Genomic DNA, 17953 nt, shown 5'->3' with positions numbered 1-17953 from the left:
ATGCTTGTGCATTTTTCTGGAGACATGCATAAGGACTAAATACATTTCTTCAAAACCCTTAACTCTACACTTACTATATGAGATTATAATGACTGAGGCTCCCTTTTCACACGCTTCAAGCCCTTTGTAGTATTCTATATCCATTAGAATATATCTGCAATTTATGAGTAACACTAGAATTTTAACACATTCTTAGAATCTTAACACACCTTTAGTTTCATTAATTTTGTGATTTTTCTTTTTTCTTTTGGATTCTAAGTATGCTGGTAACTAGACCATTCTTTGAAATACATATTTCTAAAACTTTTCTCCCTGTTCTCTCTTCTATCTTTCAGTCTCAGTATAATAAGTTCAACTGATTTGATTCCAATTAGAATTTTTTTTTCTCTTTCAGTCCACGTGAATTCAGTTCTCTATGTAGCTTTGGAAAATTGCCCGAGAGAGGACTGCATCATTGATAGAAACAGGTGGAGTGGTTTACTGAAGGAATGCATTATTTCTAATCTCCTCCATTATGTGTCAAGGCAACATCTTGACTGATGTTGCTGAATTACCTTTAACAAGACCATTTGCAGCTGCAATTTGAAAGTGATGTATTCTATGAAGTTCCTGATACTGCCAAGAGCAGAGGCTGGGTTTTTGTGGCCTTGATGATTGTTAGCCAAACACTTGAATTACTGGACTTCACCAAAGTATAATTCAGTAAAATTGGAGGAAAGAAAAAACAATTTTGGAAGATAGCTACATGTACTTTTAGGAAACATTGGACCTTGACAAATCATTTCAAAGACATCTCAAATTAATTAAAGCATCTTAGTTCAAACCTCAAAAATACTATATTCCTTTATGTGTTAGATTATAGGAAAAGCCTAAAAATGCTGATCTAATCTAAAGTGGTAGAAAGCAAATTTTAAAATAGAAAACAAAGAGTAGAAAACCTCGAAGTGCTATTTTGAATTTCATTTAAAAATATAATAGTATGCTTCAACAATAAGGTTTTTAAGCACTTCAAACAAATGGTTTAATATACTCCCCTTTTTACTTTTTCACTAAAAGTGGAACAATAAAAGTAATTCTAATTAGTTCTTCACATATGTAGACTACAGTGATGTCATTCATGGGTTAAGGATTTTAACTTTCTCTGCTGTGTTTATCCATTTCACATGAACTATCCAGCACCTAAGCCGGAGATATTTGTTCCTTTTCCTTCATTATTGCGGGCCTTACAGGTATGTCTTGTCCCTGAGGAAAAATTCCTCTACAAGTCTAGAGATAGAAAAGCTATGTCTCACATCGTAGGGTAGAAGCTTTATTGCTTTGCCTTCATTTTACCATAGCTGTGAGATGTCCAAAGCTAAATTTTATTCGCCATTATTCTTTGCTCTTGGATTTTTTAAGATAATTTTCTTTGTTTCTTATATGGTTCTTATATTTTTATCTAAATTTTAATTGTTTTATCTTTAAGCCATTCTGTGAAAACCATCTTAAATCTTTTTTGAAAACTTGCTTGTTACAAACAATTTAATAAATTTGCAGGAAAAAGAAGTAGGATAGCCTATGTTAAGCTACAAGACAGCTTTTGAATAGCTGTCTGCACAAAATATTTTCTCTAGTGACATTCAAAATTCCACTCTTGTTAAAAAAAATGGTAACAAAGAAAAATAGCATTCTTTCCGCAGCCATTCTCTGTATATGAATTCATCAAATTAATCTCCTTAAGTAACTAACAGAATCATGGAATAGTGGCCTCTGAAAAGAGAGGAATACTGAAGAAAGAAGACATACTCCTTTCTTTCTTTTCTAAGATTGACGCTTCCCTTCCATTACTACATAGTAGTTTCTAGAAAGTACAGAAAGAATAACTTACTGAGATTAAAAAAAAGAAAAAAGAAACCCTCATACAGTGTGGGATCAGTAGAAGGATGATCACAAACTACTGCCATGTAGGAACTTCAGCCATACATAATCATCTTATCTTCATGAAGGAAGACTCAATCACCTTCGAACTCCATGTTACATTATGCAAAACTCTATTTCAGACAGTAGGTTAATTTGTTAATAATTTTTATTGGTTGTGACACCTCTTTAAAAATGTTCCTTGAGGACCCATATGCATGTTTATTTTAGTATTCAAAAGGGCTGGGTATGGGAAAAGCTTTAAAATTTGGTCAGCTTAATATATCATAAAATTTAGACCATTGATCCTAAATGTAAGTTATTTATTTCCTATCTTTTGTTCATAAATCTATATTATATTTTTACTAGCCTTAGAAAACTTTATTAATGTAATAAAGCTATTGTCTCATGTATATAAAAATGTTTTCCCCAGGTTGCTGTTGGCTACAGCCTGCTTTTCTTTCTAAGCTCCTTTATCTGTGTAGTTTTGTATCCAAAATTTAAAGGTAAATCAGACTACTCATTCAACTTCCATTTCCCTAGTAAAAATTTAACCCTGTACAGCTAAAACTAATTATGCACTAGGCTTTTCCTTGAGCTAAGCAATATGAAGTACTAACTCAGGCCCCAGAGTACTATATCATGCAATGAAACACTCACTTTGCTTAATGCCCTAGTGAATTGAAGAATTAATACATTTCTTAAGTGCCAAATATAATCCCATGCATTAGGTCATGTTTTGGGAGAATGTAGTTCAATTTGAAAAAAACAACTTGGTATTAGCACATAAAATAAGAAGTTTATGAAAAATAGAAATAAAATATATCCCTAAGCAAAAAATTTATTTTTTTCCAAGAGATGTTTGTTGAATAATAGTGACAATTTATCAATTATAGTATGCTCTAGGGCTAGTTTCACATTTACTGTTAAGAAAAGTTGTGGTCTCTTCCAAGATGGCTGAATAGGAACAGCTGCGGTCTGCCGCTCCCAGTGAGATGGATACGGAAGATGGGTGATTTCTGCATTTCCAACTGAGGTACCTGGTTCATCTCACTGGGACTGGTTGGACAATGGGTGCAGCCCATGAAGGGCGAGCCAAAGCAGGGTGGGGCATTGCCTCACCAGGGAAGTGCAATGAGTTGGGGAATTTCCCTTTCCTAGCCAAGGGAAGCTGAACCAGAATGTACCTGGAGGAATGGTACATTTCTGCCCAAATACTGTGTTTTCCCACAGTTTTAGCAACCGGCAGACCAGGAGATTCCCTCCCATGCCGGGCTCGGCAGGTCCCACACCCATGGAACCTTGCTCACTGCTAGTGCAGTAGTCTGGGATCAACCTGGGAAGCTGCAGCCTGGCGGGGGGAGGGGCATCAGCCTTTGTTGAGTCTTGAGTAGGTAAACAAAGTGGTTGGGAAGCTCAAACTGGGTGGAGTCCACCGCAGCTCAGCAAGGCCTACTGCCTCTCTAGACTCCACCTCTGTGGGCAGGGCATAGCTGAACAAAAGGCAGCAGACAATTTCTCCGCACTTAAAACGTCCCTGTCTGACAGCTCTGAAGAGAGTAGGGGTTCTCCCAGTATGGCGTTCGAGCTCTGAGAATGGACAGGCTGCCTCCTGAAGTGGGTCCCTGACCCCCATGTAGCTTGACTGGGAAACCCCTCCCAGTAGGGGCTGACAGACACCTCATACAGGTGGGTGCCCCTCTGGGACGAACCTTCCTGAGGAAGGATCAGGCAGCAATATTTTGCTGTTCTGCAGTATTTGCTGTTCTGCAGCCTCCGCTGGTGATACCCAGGCAAACAGGGTCTGGAGTGGAACTCCAGCAAACTCCAACGGACCTGCAGCTGAGCGACCTGACTGTTAGAAGGAAATCTAACAAACAGAAAGGAATAGCATCAACATCAACAAAAAAGACATACACACCAAAACCCCATCTGTAGGTCACCAACATCAAAGACTAAAGGTAGATAAAACCACAATGATGGGGAGAAACTAGAGCAGAAAAGCTGAAAATTCCAAAAACCAGAGTGCTTCTTCTCTTCCAAAGGATTGCATCTCCTCACCAGCAACAGACTAAAACTGGATGGAGAATGAGTTTGATGAGTTGACAGAAGTAGGCTTCAGGAGGTTGGTAATAACAAACTTCTCCGAGCTAAAGGAGCATGTTCTAATCCATCACAAGGAAGCTAAAAACCTTGAAAAAAAGGTTAGATGAATGGCTAACTAGAATAAACAGTGTAGAGAAGACCTTAAATGATCTGATGGAGCTGAAAACCATAGCATGAGTACTTCATGATGCATGCACAAGCTTCAATAGCCGATTCAATCAAGTGGAAGAAAGGATATCAATGAATGAAGATCAAATTAATGAAATAAATTGAGAAGACAGGTTTAGAGAGAAAAGAGTAAAAAGAAACAAACAAAGCCTCCAAGAAATATGGGACTATGTGAAAAGACCAAATCTACATTTGACTGGTGTACCTGAAATTGATGAGGAGAATGGAAACAAGTTAGAAAACACTCTTCAGGATATTATCCAGGAGAACTTCCCAAACCTAGCAAGGCAGGCCAACATTCAAATTCAGGAAATACAAAGAACATCACTAAGATACTCCTTGAGAAGAGCGACCCCAAGGCACATAATTGTCAGATTCACCAAGGTTGAAATGAAGGAAAAAATGTTAAGGGCAGCCAGAGAGAAAGGTCGGGTTACCCACAAAGGGAAGCACATCAGACAAACATCAGATCTCTCAGCAGAAACCCTTCAAGCCAGAAGAGAGTAGGGGCCAATATTCAACATTCTTAAAGAAAAGAATTTTCAACACAGAATCTCATATCCAGCCAAACTAAGCTTCATAAGTGAAAGAGAAATAAAATCTTTACAGACAAGCAAAGGCTGAGAGATTTTGTCACCACCAGGCCTGCCTTACAAGAGCTCCTGAAGGAAGCACTAAAAATGGAAAGGAACACCTGGTACCAGCCACTGCAAAAACATGCCAAATTGTAAAGACCATAGATGCTATGAAGAAACTGCATCAATTAGTAGGCAAAATAACCAGCTAACATCAAAATGACAGGATCAAATTCACACATAACAATATTAACCTTTAATGTAAATGGACTAAATACCCCAATTGAAAGACATAGACAGGCAAATTGGATAAAGAGTCAAGACCTATCAGTGTGCTGTATTCAGCAGACTCATGTCACATGCAGAGACACACATAGGCTCAAAATAAAGGGGATGGAAGATAATCTACCAAGGAAATGGAAAGCAAAAAAAAGCAGGGGTTGCAGTCCTTGTCTCCGATAAACAGACTTTAAACCAACAAAGATCAAAAGAGACAATCAAGGCCATTACATAATGGTAAAGGGATCAATTCAACGAGAAGAGCTAACTATCCTAAATATATATGCACCCAATACAGGAGCACCCAGATTCATAAAGGAAGTCCTTAGAGACCTACAAAGAGACTTAGACTCCCACACAATAATAATGGGAGATTTCAACACCCCACTGTCAATATTAGATCAACAAACAGAAGGTCAACAAAAGAAGGTTAACAAGGATATATAGGACTTGAATTCAGCTCTGCAACAAGCAAACCTAATAGACATCTACAGAACTCCCCATCCCAAATCAACAGAATATACATTCTTCTCAGCACCACATTGCACTTATTCTAAAATTGTCCACATAATTGGAAGTAAAACACTCCTCAGCAAGTGTAGAAGAACAGAAATCACAACAAACAGTCTCTCAGATCACAGTGCAATCAAATTAGAACTCAGGGTTAAGAAACTCACTCAAAACCACACAACTTCATGGAAACTGAACAACGTGCTCCTGAATGATGACTGGGTAAATAACAAAATGAAGGCAGAAATAAAGATGTTATTTGAAACCAATGAGAACAAAGACACAACATACCAGAATCTCTGGGACACATTCAAAGCAGTGTGTAGAGGGAAATTTATAGCACTAAATGCCCACAAGAGAAAGCAGGAAAGATCTAAAATTGACACCCTAACATCACAATTAAAAGAACTAGAGAAGCAAGAGCAAACAAATTCAAAAGCTAGCAGAAGTCAAGAAACAACTAAGATCAGAGCAGAACTGAAGGAGATCAAGACAGAAAAAAAACACCTTCAAAAAATCAATGAATCCAGGAGCTGGTTTTTTGAAAAGATCAACAAAATAGACCACTAGCAAGACTAATAAAGAAGAAAAGAGAGAAGAATCAAGTAGACACAATAAAAAATGATAAAGGGGACATCTCCACTGATCCCACAGAAATACAATCTACCATCAGAGGATACTATAAACACCTTTACACAAATAAACTAGAAAATCTAGAAGAAATGGATAAATTCATGGACACATACACCCCCTGAGACTTAACCAGGAGGAAGTTGAATCTCTGAATAGACCAATAACAGGTTCTGACATTGAGGCAATATTTAATAGCTTACCAACCAAAAAAAGTCCAGGACCACACGGATTCACAGCCGAATTCTTCCAGAGGTAAAAAGAGGAGCTGGTACCATTCCTTCTGAAATTATTCCAATCAATAGAAAAAGAGGAAATCCTCCCTAACTCATTTTCTGAGGCCAGTATCATCCTGATACCAAAGCCTGGCAGAGACACAACAAAAAAAGAGAATTTTAGACCAATATCCTTAATGAACATTGATGTGAAAATCCTCAGTAAAATACTGGCAAACTGAATCCAGCAGCATATGAAAAAGCTTATCCACCACAATCAAGACGGCTTCATCCCTGGGATGCAAGGCTGGTTCAACATATGCAAATCAATAAACATAATCCATCATATAAACAGAACAAAAGATAAAAACCACATGATTATCTCGATAGATGCAGAAAACACCTTCAACACAATTCAACAACAATTCATGCTAAAAATTCTCAATAAACTAGGTATTGATGGAATGTATCTCAAAATGATAAGAGCTATTTAGGACAAACCCACAGCCAATATCATACTGAATGGGCAAAAACTGGAAGCATCCCCTTTGAAAACTGGCACAAGACAAGGCAGCCCTCTCTCACCACTCCTATTCAACATAGTGTTGTAAGTTCTGGCTAGGGTAATCAGGAAAGAGAAAGAAATAAAGTGTATTCAATTACAAAAAGAGAAAGAAATAAAGTGTATTCAATTAGGAAAAGAGGAAGTCAAATTGTCCCTGTTTGTAGATGACATGATTATATATTTAGAAAACCCCATCATCTCAGCCCAAAATCTCCGTAAGTTGATAAGCAACTTCAGCAAAGTCTCAGGATACAAAATCAATATGCAAAAATCACAAGCATTTTTATACACCAGTAACAGACAAACAGAGAGCCAAATCGTGAGTGAACTCACATTCAATTGCTAAAAAGAGAATAACGTACCTAGGAATCCAACTTACAAGGGATGTGAAGGACCTCTTCAAGGAGAACTACAAACCACTGCTCAAGGAAATAAAAGAGGACACAAACAAATGGAAGGACATTCCATGCTCATGGATAGTAAGAATCAATATGGTGAAAATAGTCATATTGCGCAAGGTAATTTACAGATTCAATGCCATCCTCATCAAGCTACCAATGACTTTCTTCACAGAATTGGAAAAAACTAATTTAAAGTTCATATGGAACCCAAAAAGAGCCCGCATAGCCAACACAATCCTAAGCAAAAAGAACAAAGCTGGAGGCATCACGCTATCTGACTTCAAACTATACTACAAGGCTACAATAACCAAAACAGCATGGTACTGGCACCAAAACAGATATATAGACCAATGAAACAGAACAGAAGCCTCAGAAATAACACATAACACTACAGATCTACAACCATCTGATCTTTGACAAACCTGACAAATACAAGAAATGGGTAAAGGATTCTTTATTTAATAAATGGTGCTGGGAAAACTGGCTAGCCATATGTAGAAAGCTGAAACTGTATCCCTTCCTTACACCTTATACAAAAATTAACTCAAGATGGATTAAAGACTTAAATGTAAGACCTCAAACCATAAAAACCCTAGAAGAAAACCTAGGCAATACCATTTAGGACATAGGCATGGGCAAGAACTTCCTGACTAAAACACCAAAAGCGACGGCAACAAATGCCAAAATAGACAAATGGGATCCAATTAAACTAAAGAGCTTCTGCACAGCAAAATAAACTATCATCAGAGTGAACAGGCAACCTACACAATGGGAGAAAATTTTTGCAATCTACCCATCTAACAAAGGACTAATATCCAGAATCTACAAAGAACTTAAAGAAATTTACAAGAAAAAAAACAAACAACCCTATCAAAAAGTGGGCAAAAGATATGAAAAGACACTTCTCAAAAGAAGACATGCAGCCAACAGATATATGAAAAAGTGCTCATCATCACTGGTCATTAGAGAAATGCAAATCTAAACCACAATGAGATACCATCTCACTCCAGTTAGAATGATGATCATTAAAAGGTTAGGAAACAACAGATGCTGGAGAGGATTTGGAAAAATAAGAACACTTTTACACTGTTAGTGGGAGTGTAAATTAGTTCAACCATAGTGGAAGACAGTGTGGTGATTCCTCAAGGATCTAGAACTAGAAATACCATTTGACCCAGTGATCGCATTACTGGGTATATATCCAAAGGATTATAAATCATGCTACTATAAAGACACATGCACACACATGTTTATTGCAGCACTATTCACAATAGCAAAGACTTGGAACCAACCCAAATGTCCATCAGTGATAGACTGGATTGAGAAAATGTGGCACATATACACCATGGAATACTATGCAGCCACAAAAAAGGATTAGTTCATGTCTTTTGCAGGGACATGGATGAAGCTGGAAATCATCATTCTCAGCAAACTAACATAAGGACCGAAAACCAGACACCTTATGCTCTCACTCATAGGTGGGAGTTGAACAATGAGAACACATGGACACAGGGCAGGAAACATCACACATCAGGGCCTGTCAGGGGATGGGGGCTGGGGGAGGGATAGGAGAAATACCTTATGTAAAGGACAAGTTGATGGGTGCAGCAAACCAACATGGCACATGTATACCTATGTAACAAACCTGCATGTTGTGCACATGTACCCTAGAACTTAAAGTATAATAGAAAAAAAAAGAAAAATTTTTGCAAGCTACAATTTTAAAAAGTGATATGCAATTTATTTTAAAGAGACAAAGTAAGCACAGTTGATTATTACTTAAGTCCTCTCTGTTGCATACCAATATGTCAGATTGTAAGCATGGCTCCCCAAACTTCTTGAGGAACAAGTAGCGAGTTCTGCTATGAAACCAGAAAGTGGAGACCTTGTACAATGTCAAGCAGATGATTTTATAAATTTTTGATGAAAAGGGTATCAATCTATGCCAATTCTGTAGTTTCTTCACGATAGAAAATATCTTGCTAGCATAATCTCTATTTAAAACCATAAACAAGCTCAAACTCAAATATGACATTATGAGTCACTCATCAATAAAACTTGCCCATCAATACAAAACAATTGGTAAGACTGATTTTTTGAACTGATTTCTATTAATTGCACATACCTAACTGGAAATTAAAGGCTAAGCTCCAGATAATTGCTTTGTTCACAGAACCTTCACTCTAATAAAGACATCCATCTTACTTTTTCCCTAGTATAATAAACCAAATTTATTATTAATCCTAAAGTTTTCTTTATATGCAACAGACATGCACCTGAAGCTTCAGTAGGAAATAACAAAATTTGAATTAATACAAACCCATATATTATATCTGTCAAATAAGAATAATGAGCTAATAGTTAATTAAGAGTTTACTTCTTTATTTTTTTTAAAGATAAAGGGGAGTTGGGGCTGTTAGAGGGGGAACCTTATCTTGAGTGACATCTAGTGGACTGCTGCAAAATGACATTTTTAAAGGTTCCTTTTTTTAAAAAAAATAATTTCAACTTTTAGATTCAGAGGGTACACATTTTTCTAAGTTGAAGCTACTACAGATAGAGTAGCTGTAACACGTTAACACTTTGCATTTGTGCAAGTAAAATAATAATCTACTCAAAAACCTTTATGTAAGCAGTAAAATTATTCTCAAAGGGAAATTACAGACGACCTAGAAAATCTATAAATGGAAAAAAGAATATCTTAACTTAAAAAAATTTCCTATAAATATAACTGCTTATGTTGTAATATATTATTATTGGAAAAAAGTTTTTAATACTTTTGAAAGCCATTAATAGTTGAGATCTCTATTTCAAGTAAATAAAAATATATACTCTATATTTTTACTCTAAAACCTCAATCTTGGAATCTTTAAACTTTTGTTTTATTGCTAAATTAAGAAGCTAATTTATTTTCTCAGAAACACTTATTCTCACTGTATATTTTCATTTGTGATTATTTGAAGTGCAAAGTCATAGTCTTTTGTTAATAGTGGAACATTGGCATATTTTCTCATTGTTCCTTGACTATCCTTTTTCAGTAACATATAAAATAAGAATATTATGTGTGATTTCCATTGCTTTATTTCTGTTTAGCTCTTTGCCTTTGAGGCCACATTGATCTTGTATTGTTGTTAGTGTTTTTTCATCTCCATTCATAGTGTATCTATTGGTAAGACATTTGGTGCTTGACCTTTATTTTGTTTCAGTATCTCTTTGTAAAATTTCCTCTCAATTCTGTTTTTCGTATGCCTTCTACAACCCTGTTCATCTCATCGGAATTTTCCTTTCTGTGTCATTTAGTTCTTGTACCTTCGGATGTATTCTAAATTTCCTTGCATTGTTCTTACCACCTTAATGCTGTCTCTGTCTGTTTAAATATTTGCCACTAATCCAAACACTCTCACAGGAGAGAACAAGTGGTGATCTTTAATTATTTTCTTTAATATATCCTTTTTCGCTATTTAAACACTGTTTACTCATTTGTCATATCCACTTTCCTGGGGTTCCTAAGGTGATAACTGAGTAATTAAAAAAAATTTTGATACTTCACTTTAAGAATATCGATATTCACTTAAAGGAATTTCCTTAACTAGCTTTATCACCATTTTTGAAATTAGCAAACTCAAGTTCTTTTAGGGTTACTGAGGAAATACAGCTTGTTGTCTATGCCCTGAAATGATTAATCTAATAATATCACATGTGAAGAAGATAATAAATAATCAAGTGCTAAATTTTGTAGTATTAACACAAGTGTTATGTTAAAATTTTAGAGAAGGTAGAGAACAAGAAGGAAAGAGTGGTATTAAGGAACTCATGGAAAGAGTAGAACTTACTTGCTATCTCATAGCAGAACCATGAGAAATAAATTTCTGTTGTACATAGCTATCCAATTTACAGCATTTTACTAAAGCAGCTAGAAATCTAAATGGACAAAGTCTTTAAATCATTTGAAAATAAATAGAAATAAAACATGTATAATTTATTTGTTTTTCATAATTATCTATATTTTCTTATAAATAAATGCTTTCTCCCATAAATCCTACTTCCATAGTATTAATTTTATGTCTTTTAGCACATAAGTAAATAATAGATGAATAATAAACTTGTATTTAAGAATATTTTATAGTAAAAATAATAAGAAAGGATTAAGCAAAGTTCATTGTCATTTTCTAGCATTTCTAAACATTTGATGTGATGTTAATATTCCTTGTCTTAGACTACATAAAACAATAGTATAAATTTTAGATGTGTTGATAATTAGGTTCCCATTTTTAAAAGTCTGAATATTGGAATAGTGATTGGAGAGAAGGGAAGAAATCAGTGAGCTTATAGAGAAAAGAGAGGAAATGAGTGAGCTTATAGAATTCAGGGCAAATGTGAGACCAAGGAGAGAAGAAAATAGAGTGTGCCTGAAGAAAGGTGTAGCAAACAACTTAATTAAATCCAGAAGCATATATGGGGAGTAAAAAACCAAAAAAAAAAAAAAAAAAAAAAACAGGCAAACAAATAACATGAAAGTACTTGAAACAGTGAAAATTTTAGCATCAGGAGAAAAAAAATCATCTCATAAGTAGTAAATGTGGTCATTATTTTTTTTACCAAGGAGCCACTAACAGTTTTTAAGAGGTGGAATAACTTGATCAAAGCACTATTAAATGCCATAAAACTGATCATGGTACATATTGGAGAAAATAAACCAATAGATTGGGAGATCATTAAATGAGCATCACACAGGCCCAGGTCTGAAATCCTGGTGAGCCTTGTCTAAGACGCGGAGTGGTCAGTTTAGAGAAGCAAGGACAGAAAACAGACATTTCAAGAAGAAAAAGCTTAATAAAACTCTAACACTAGCTGCAATTCTATCAACATAGGTTTTTATTTGAAATCGCAAAACAAAATTATCGCTGATTAATTAGTCAAGAGTTAATTAAACGGCTTTCGTGCAGCTCACAGGATCATTTGGAAACCTGGAAGTAGACTCAAGCCAAAGCTTCCAGGAGCAATATCCAAAACAATGGTGTCTGAAGAAACCATTACTATTGGTGTTACTCTGTGAGCACTGGAGAAAACAGCTTGCTATGTTGCCTTTCTCCAGCAAAATGAGTACATTACGGTGTTTTATTTCATAATGTGGATTTCCCAATTAAGGTCTCACGTGGACAAGTCTGACTGGCAAAGTCATCATCATATGCTTATAGGTTATGTATGAAATAGATTGGGGAGGTGAGATGAGATTCATAAAGGCTGTCACTGATCAAACATAGCAAGAATACTCAGAACAAGCTGTTCTTGGAATCTTCTTCTAGCGATTGTCGCTTTGAACCAAACTTCTTACTGAGAACAACTAGAAAATATGGAGAAGATTCAACAAAAGTTATTGTTTGAAGGTCAGTTTACAGGATTAGAATCTGAGTAGAAGTTTGACATATGTCAAAAGAAAAATCGGCCAGGCGCGGTGGCTCAGGCCTCTAATCCCAGTACTTTTGGAGGCCAAGGTGTGTGGATCATCAGAGGTCAGGAGTTTGAGACCAGCCTGGCCAATAAGAAAGAAAGAGAGAAAGAGAGAAAGAAAGAAAGAAAGAAAAGGAAAATCAAAATTTCATATCTTCCTGAAAGGAAGAGAAGATTAAATTCTACAGAGCCTTAAATTACCTCTAAAACTTTCAGTCTACAATATCTTCTGTTCATTGAAGTACACAGAAAGATAAGTTAAAAACTAGATAAACTTTCAATACAAATTAAGAGAAAACTTATATAATAGGAGAGGACCCGGAGTAGGGCAAGATATTTAAGTTATCCGAGAGAGTATTTAAAATTAAATGTTCAAATAATTAAATAGGAAGATAGAGAATTGGGGGAGAAATGGAAACACTAGAAATATCAAACAAAATCTAGAAATAAAAAATACAGTAGCTGAAATTAAAACAGGATAAATGGCTTCAATAGCAGATTAGATATAGTATAAAATATGTAAAAACAAAATAGCACAAGCATAATGAAACAAAGAAATATAGAACCAATAAAAGAGTCTATGCAGGCCGGGCATGGTGGCTCACGCCTGTAATCCCAGAACTTTGGGAGGCCGAGGCGGGTGGATCACGAGGTTAGGAGATCGAGACCATCCTGGCTAACATGGTGAAACCCCGTCTCTACTAAAAAATACAAAAAATTAGCCAGGTGTGGTGACAGGCGCCTGTAGTCCCAGCTACTCAGGAGGCTGAGGCAGGAGAATGGCATGAACCCGGGAGGCGGAGGTTGCAGTGAGCTGAGATCGCGCCACTGCACTCCAACCTGGACGACAGAGCAAGACTCCGTCTCAAAAAAAGAAAAAACAAACAAAAAAAAGAGTATATGCAGCATATGGGTGAAAATATTTAACACATATGCAAATGGAGTCCTAGAAGGGAGGACTGGGAGAGAAGCAGGCAATATTTAAAGAAAAGACTGAGAATTATTATTTTTTTAATTAAATTGCTTTTTAAAATGTATGTGGGTACATAGATGTATATATTTACGGTGTATATGAGATGTTTTGGTACAGACAAGCAATGTGAAATAAACATATATGGAGAGTGCGGTATCCATCCCCCCCCCAGCATATGCCCTTTGAGTTACAAACAATCCAATTACACTCTTTATTTTAGAATGTACAATTAAGCTATTATTGATTATATTCACCCTATTGTGCTATCGAATAGCAGGTCTCATTCATTCTTTCTAACTTTTTTTTTTTTTGGTACCCTTTAACCATCCCCACTTCCCCTCCAACCCCCTACTACTTTCCCCAGCCTCTGGTAACTGTTCTTTTACACTCTATTAATATGTACATGAGTTGAATTGTTGTGATTTTTATATCCCACAAGTGAGTGAGAGCATGGGTTTGTCTTTCTGTGCCTGGTTTACTTCACTTAACATCTCCAGTTCCATCCCTGTTGTTGCAAATGGCTGGATCTCATTCTTTTTTATGACTAAACAGTACTCCATTGTGTGTACATGTACTACATTTTCTTGATTCATTCAACTGTTGATGGACACGTGCGCTGCTTTCAAACCCTGGCCATTGTAAACAGTGCTGCAGCAAACAGCAGTGCAGTTATCTCTTTGATATACTGATTTCCTTTCTTTGGGATATATACCCAGGAGTGGGATTGCTGAATCATATGGGAGCTTAATTTTTAGTGTTTTGAGGAACCTCCAAACTGTCCTCCCTAGTGGTTGTACTAGTTATATTTCCACCAACAATGTACAGGATTCCATTTTCTCCACATCCTCGCCTGCATTTGTTATTGCCTGTCTTTTGGATATAAGCCATTTTAACAAGGGTGAGGTAATATCTCATTGTGTTTGATTTGCATTTCTCAGATGATCCAGTAATGTTGAGCACCTTTTCATATGCCTCTTTGCCATTTTTATGTCTTATTTTGAGAAATGTCGATTCAAATCTTTTGCCCATTTTTTAATTGGATAATTAGATTTTTTCCTATAGAGTTGTTTAAGCTCCTTATACATTCGGTTATTAATCCCTTGTCAGATGGGTAGTTTGCAAATACCTTCTCCCATTCTGTGCATTGTCTCTTTACTTTGTTGATTGTATCCTTTGCTATACAGTCATTTTTTTATGTGATCCCATTTGCCTATTCTTGTTTTGGTTGCCTGTGCTTGGGCAATTGCTCAAGAAGTCCTTGTCCAGACCAATGTGCTAGAGAGTTTCTTCAATGCTTTCTTGTAGAAGTTTCATAGTTTGAGGTCTTAGATTTAAGTCTTTAATCCATTTTGATTTGATTTTTTGTAGATAGTGAGAGACTGGGGTCTAGTGTCATTCTTTCGTATATGGCTATCAGTTTTTTCAGCACCATTTATTGAAGAGCCTGTCCTTTCACTAGCTTATGTTCTTGGCACCTTTGGCAGAAATGAGTTCACTGTAAGTGTGTGCATTTGTTTCTAGGTTCTCTGTACTGTTCCAGAATGTGATTCTGAGAGGAGGTGCTAGCCTGGCTTCCTGGGTTGAGTAGGGGCTTAGAAAGCTGTGAAACTTACTTATTTCTTGCATCAGGACTTCTTTCGGTCCTGGATAAATATTATTAAAGATATATGCTTAAAATATTCCTAACACTAGGATTTGTGCATGTGTTTTCTTTCTCAGGAAAGCTATAAACAGCGAAAATTTTGCTGTAAGTTTCCCTGTGTCCTCTCTCCCTCTCTCCCTTCCCCCTCCCCTGAAACTAAAAAGAATGTTAAATGCCCGTTTTTCCAGCGGACCTTATCTATGCTCCCGATTCCAATTCGTTTTAAACATACTTTGTAAAGTCCCGTGAGATCCTGTCTCCTTTGCCATGCCGCTGCAAGGTCATAAAGTAGATAAAACCTAAGTTGCAATTCCAGTTTTCCTCAAAATCTAAGACATGTCACAAAATAATTTACAGCCTTTGTTTCTCGCTCTAGTAACATCTTCCTGCCGCATGTATTTTCCGCCTTAAAGAGTTTAAAAGGCAATCACCCAAAACCAACAATGGCTACCCACTAAAGACCCCGTCCACGCTGTAGAAGCTTTGTGCTGTCACTCTGTTCAATAAAGCCTGCAGCTTTTTTTTCTCTTAGTCTGTGTCTCCATCACTCGCCCCAAGCAGCCGCCACACCAATTCTTTGGCATGGCTAAGGCAAGAACCTTTAGTGCTACGTTTTGGCAAGCCAGCCAGGAGATCCAGGAAAGGTATCTAGGTTGTCACACGGTGAGTATGATCGGACCTCTTTGGCTTGCTATTCTGTCCTGTCCTTCCTTAGAATTCAGAGGCTAAATACCAGGCACCTGTATTAGGGCCACTTAAAGGCGATTAACGAGGCTGCCGGACTAAAGACACAGGTGTCAGGCTGTCTGGAAAAGGGCTCTCTAACAACCCCCTACCCTTCAGGGTTAGGAGCATTAGTTAGCCTGGACTCAGTTCTAACTCTTTCACTTTCCATGGTGGTCCTGAAGTACACCCCGCAGTGCTCACCGGATGTCTTAGTCTCCCAGAGATCCTGGTTGAGACCATGGCCCCACCAGAGGCTCCCCCTGCAGGGGTTGCTGAGCGTAAGACTGCCACATCTTCTGACCTCTGCCTCCTAGGTCCTAATGTCCGCCAGCTAGAGTTCTTTTCTCATCTGATAAGATTCTTCCCTTTAGGCGGGATCAATATTCCCTGTTTAGAAGTCTTAAATTCTTGAGGTGACACCCAGAAGATCCCTGTTTACAATGCCCTCCAAGGTTTAGGCAAGTGTTGCCATTTGATGGCTATTTTGAAGGGCCAGTTACCCACCATAGTTTATGGTCCCCTACATCAGGACAATTCAAAGACAGGTCTGTAATTTTCTAGTGGATAGTAGAATCCTTAAGGCATTTCCTCCGTTGCTCCCCAGATAGACTTTCCCCTTCCTTGGGGCCTCTCAAGTACAATCTGTGGTGCATAAGTACAGCTCTTAGAGCCATTAAATTGTTGTTTCAATCATTCAGTAATTAGTATTGGAAGGAAGAGAATATAGTCAGTTAGGACACGGGATACTAGTACTGCCTTGAGAGAGGGGCTTACTCCTTTAATGGCAAGTGAGGACAAAAGGCTAGAGTACAGCAGCTGTTCTCTCAGCCCTGGCCTAGAGGACACCCACCACCCCCTTTAAGTTTACTATGTCTCCTGTCGCTAATTCAGAGATTTCTCCGTGAAGGACAGTTTTATGGCCAGGCCCACGTAAATTAAGCCTTAGTATGCAAGCATCAGTGGTGCCCCCAACCCAGGCCTTGCCACCCTGGAACAGGTAGGATGCATTAGTAATAGGACTACAATAAATCCAACAGTCCTTGTGCCCCGTTTAGTGGTCAATAGGCACATGGCAGGGGCAAGGGAAGTTTTCATCCCACTGGTAAGCATGGTTAAATCCGGTAGATGGAGAGCTCAGGAAAAGCGGCCATGAGCTTTGAGCACAATTAGACCTGACCCTACGCCCTAGAGGAAAACAAGTCCCAGGACCAACCAGGGGTGTGGGCATCCCTGTGTTTAAAATTCCAGATAGGCACCACACCTTCAAAACCAGACACTCCTTTAAGATGTATCCTGAATAACTGGGACAAATTTGACCCTGAAACCTTCAAAAAAAAAGTGGCTGATTTTCTTCCGTATCACTGCCTGGCCACAGTATTCCTTACAAAATAGAGAAACTTGCCCTCTAAAGGAAGTATTAATTATAACACCCTTCTACAACTAGATCTTTTCTGTAAACAGAAAGGTAAATAGAGTAAAGTCCCTTATGTACAAGCTTTCTTTACCCTTCGTAACAATACTGCCCTGTGCCAAGCCTGCAAGTTTTGCCCAAATGGCAGAGGCCCACAGTTGCCTCCATACTCACGGCCTCTTCCCTCAGCCCCACTCTCCTCCCCCACTGACTCTTCTCCATGCGGCCCCACCAAAGTGTTAAAGGCACACCGGAAAGAAAACACAAACTCCACAAGCCAGGCACCCAAAGTATGTTCCTTATGAACAGTAGGAGGAGAATTTAAGCCCATTCAAGTGCATGCCCCCTTCTCACTCTCAGATTTAAAACAAATAAAGGCAGATTTAAAGAAATTCTCAGATGATC

General features: G+C 37.5%; 1 long non-coding RNA gene across 4 annotated transcripts in view; it reads right to left on the bottom strand.

Annotated features, from left to right (window-relative positions):
• LOC101927518 (uncharacterized) overlaps window positions 1-17953 on the bottom strand; it is a 78207-nt gene that overhangs the window by 24933 nt on the left and 35321 nt on the right. The window contains exon 1 of one of the 4 annotated variants that reach the window (XR_001740561.1): window positions 555-698. The exons of the other annotated variants lie outside the window; for them this stretch is intronic. This is a non-coding gene — a long non-coding RNA (uncharacterized LOC101927518). Of the gene's footprint in view, window positions 1-554; window positions 699-17953 lie in introns of those variants that run through there. 4 annotated transcript variants of the gene reach the window in all.

This window comes from Homo sapiens, chromosome 3, assembly GCF_000001405.40.
Source record: "Homo sapiens chromosome 3, GRCh38.p14 Primary Assembly".
In the NCBI taxonomy this organism is placed as follows: Eukaryota; Metazoa; Chordata; class Mammalia; order Primates; family Hominidae; genus Homo; species Homo sapiens.
Note: the sequence above shows the minus strand (reverse complement) of the source record. Positions and strands in the feature narration are given on the sequence as shown.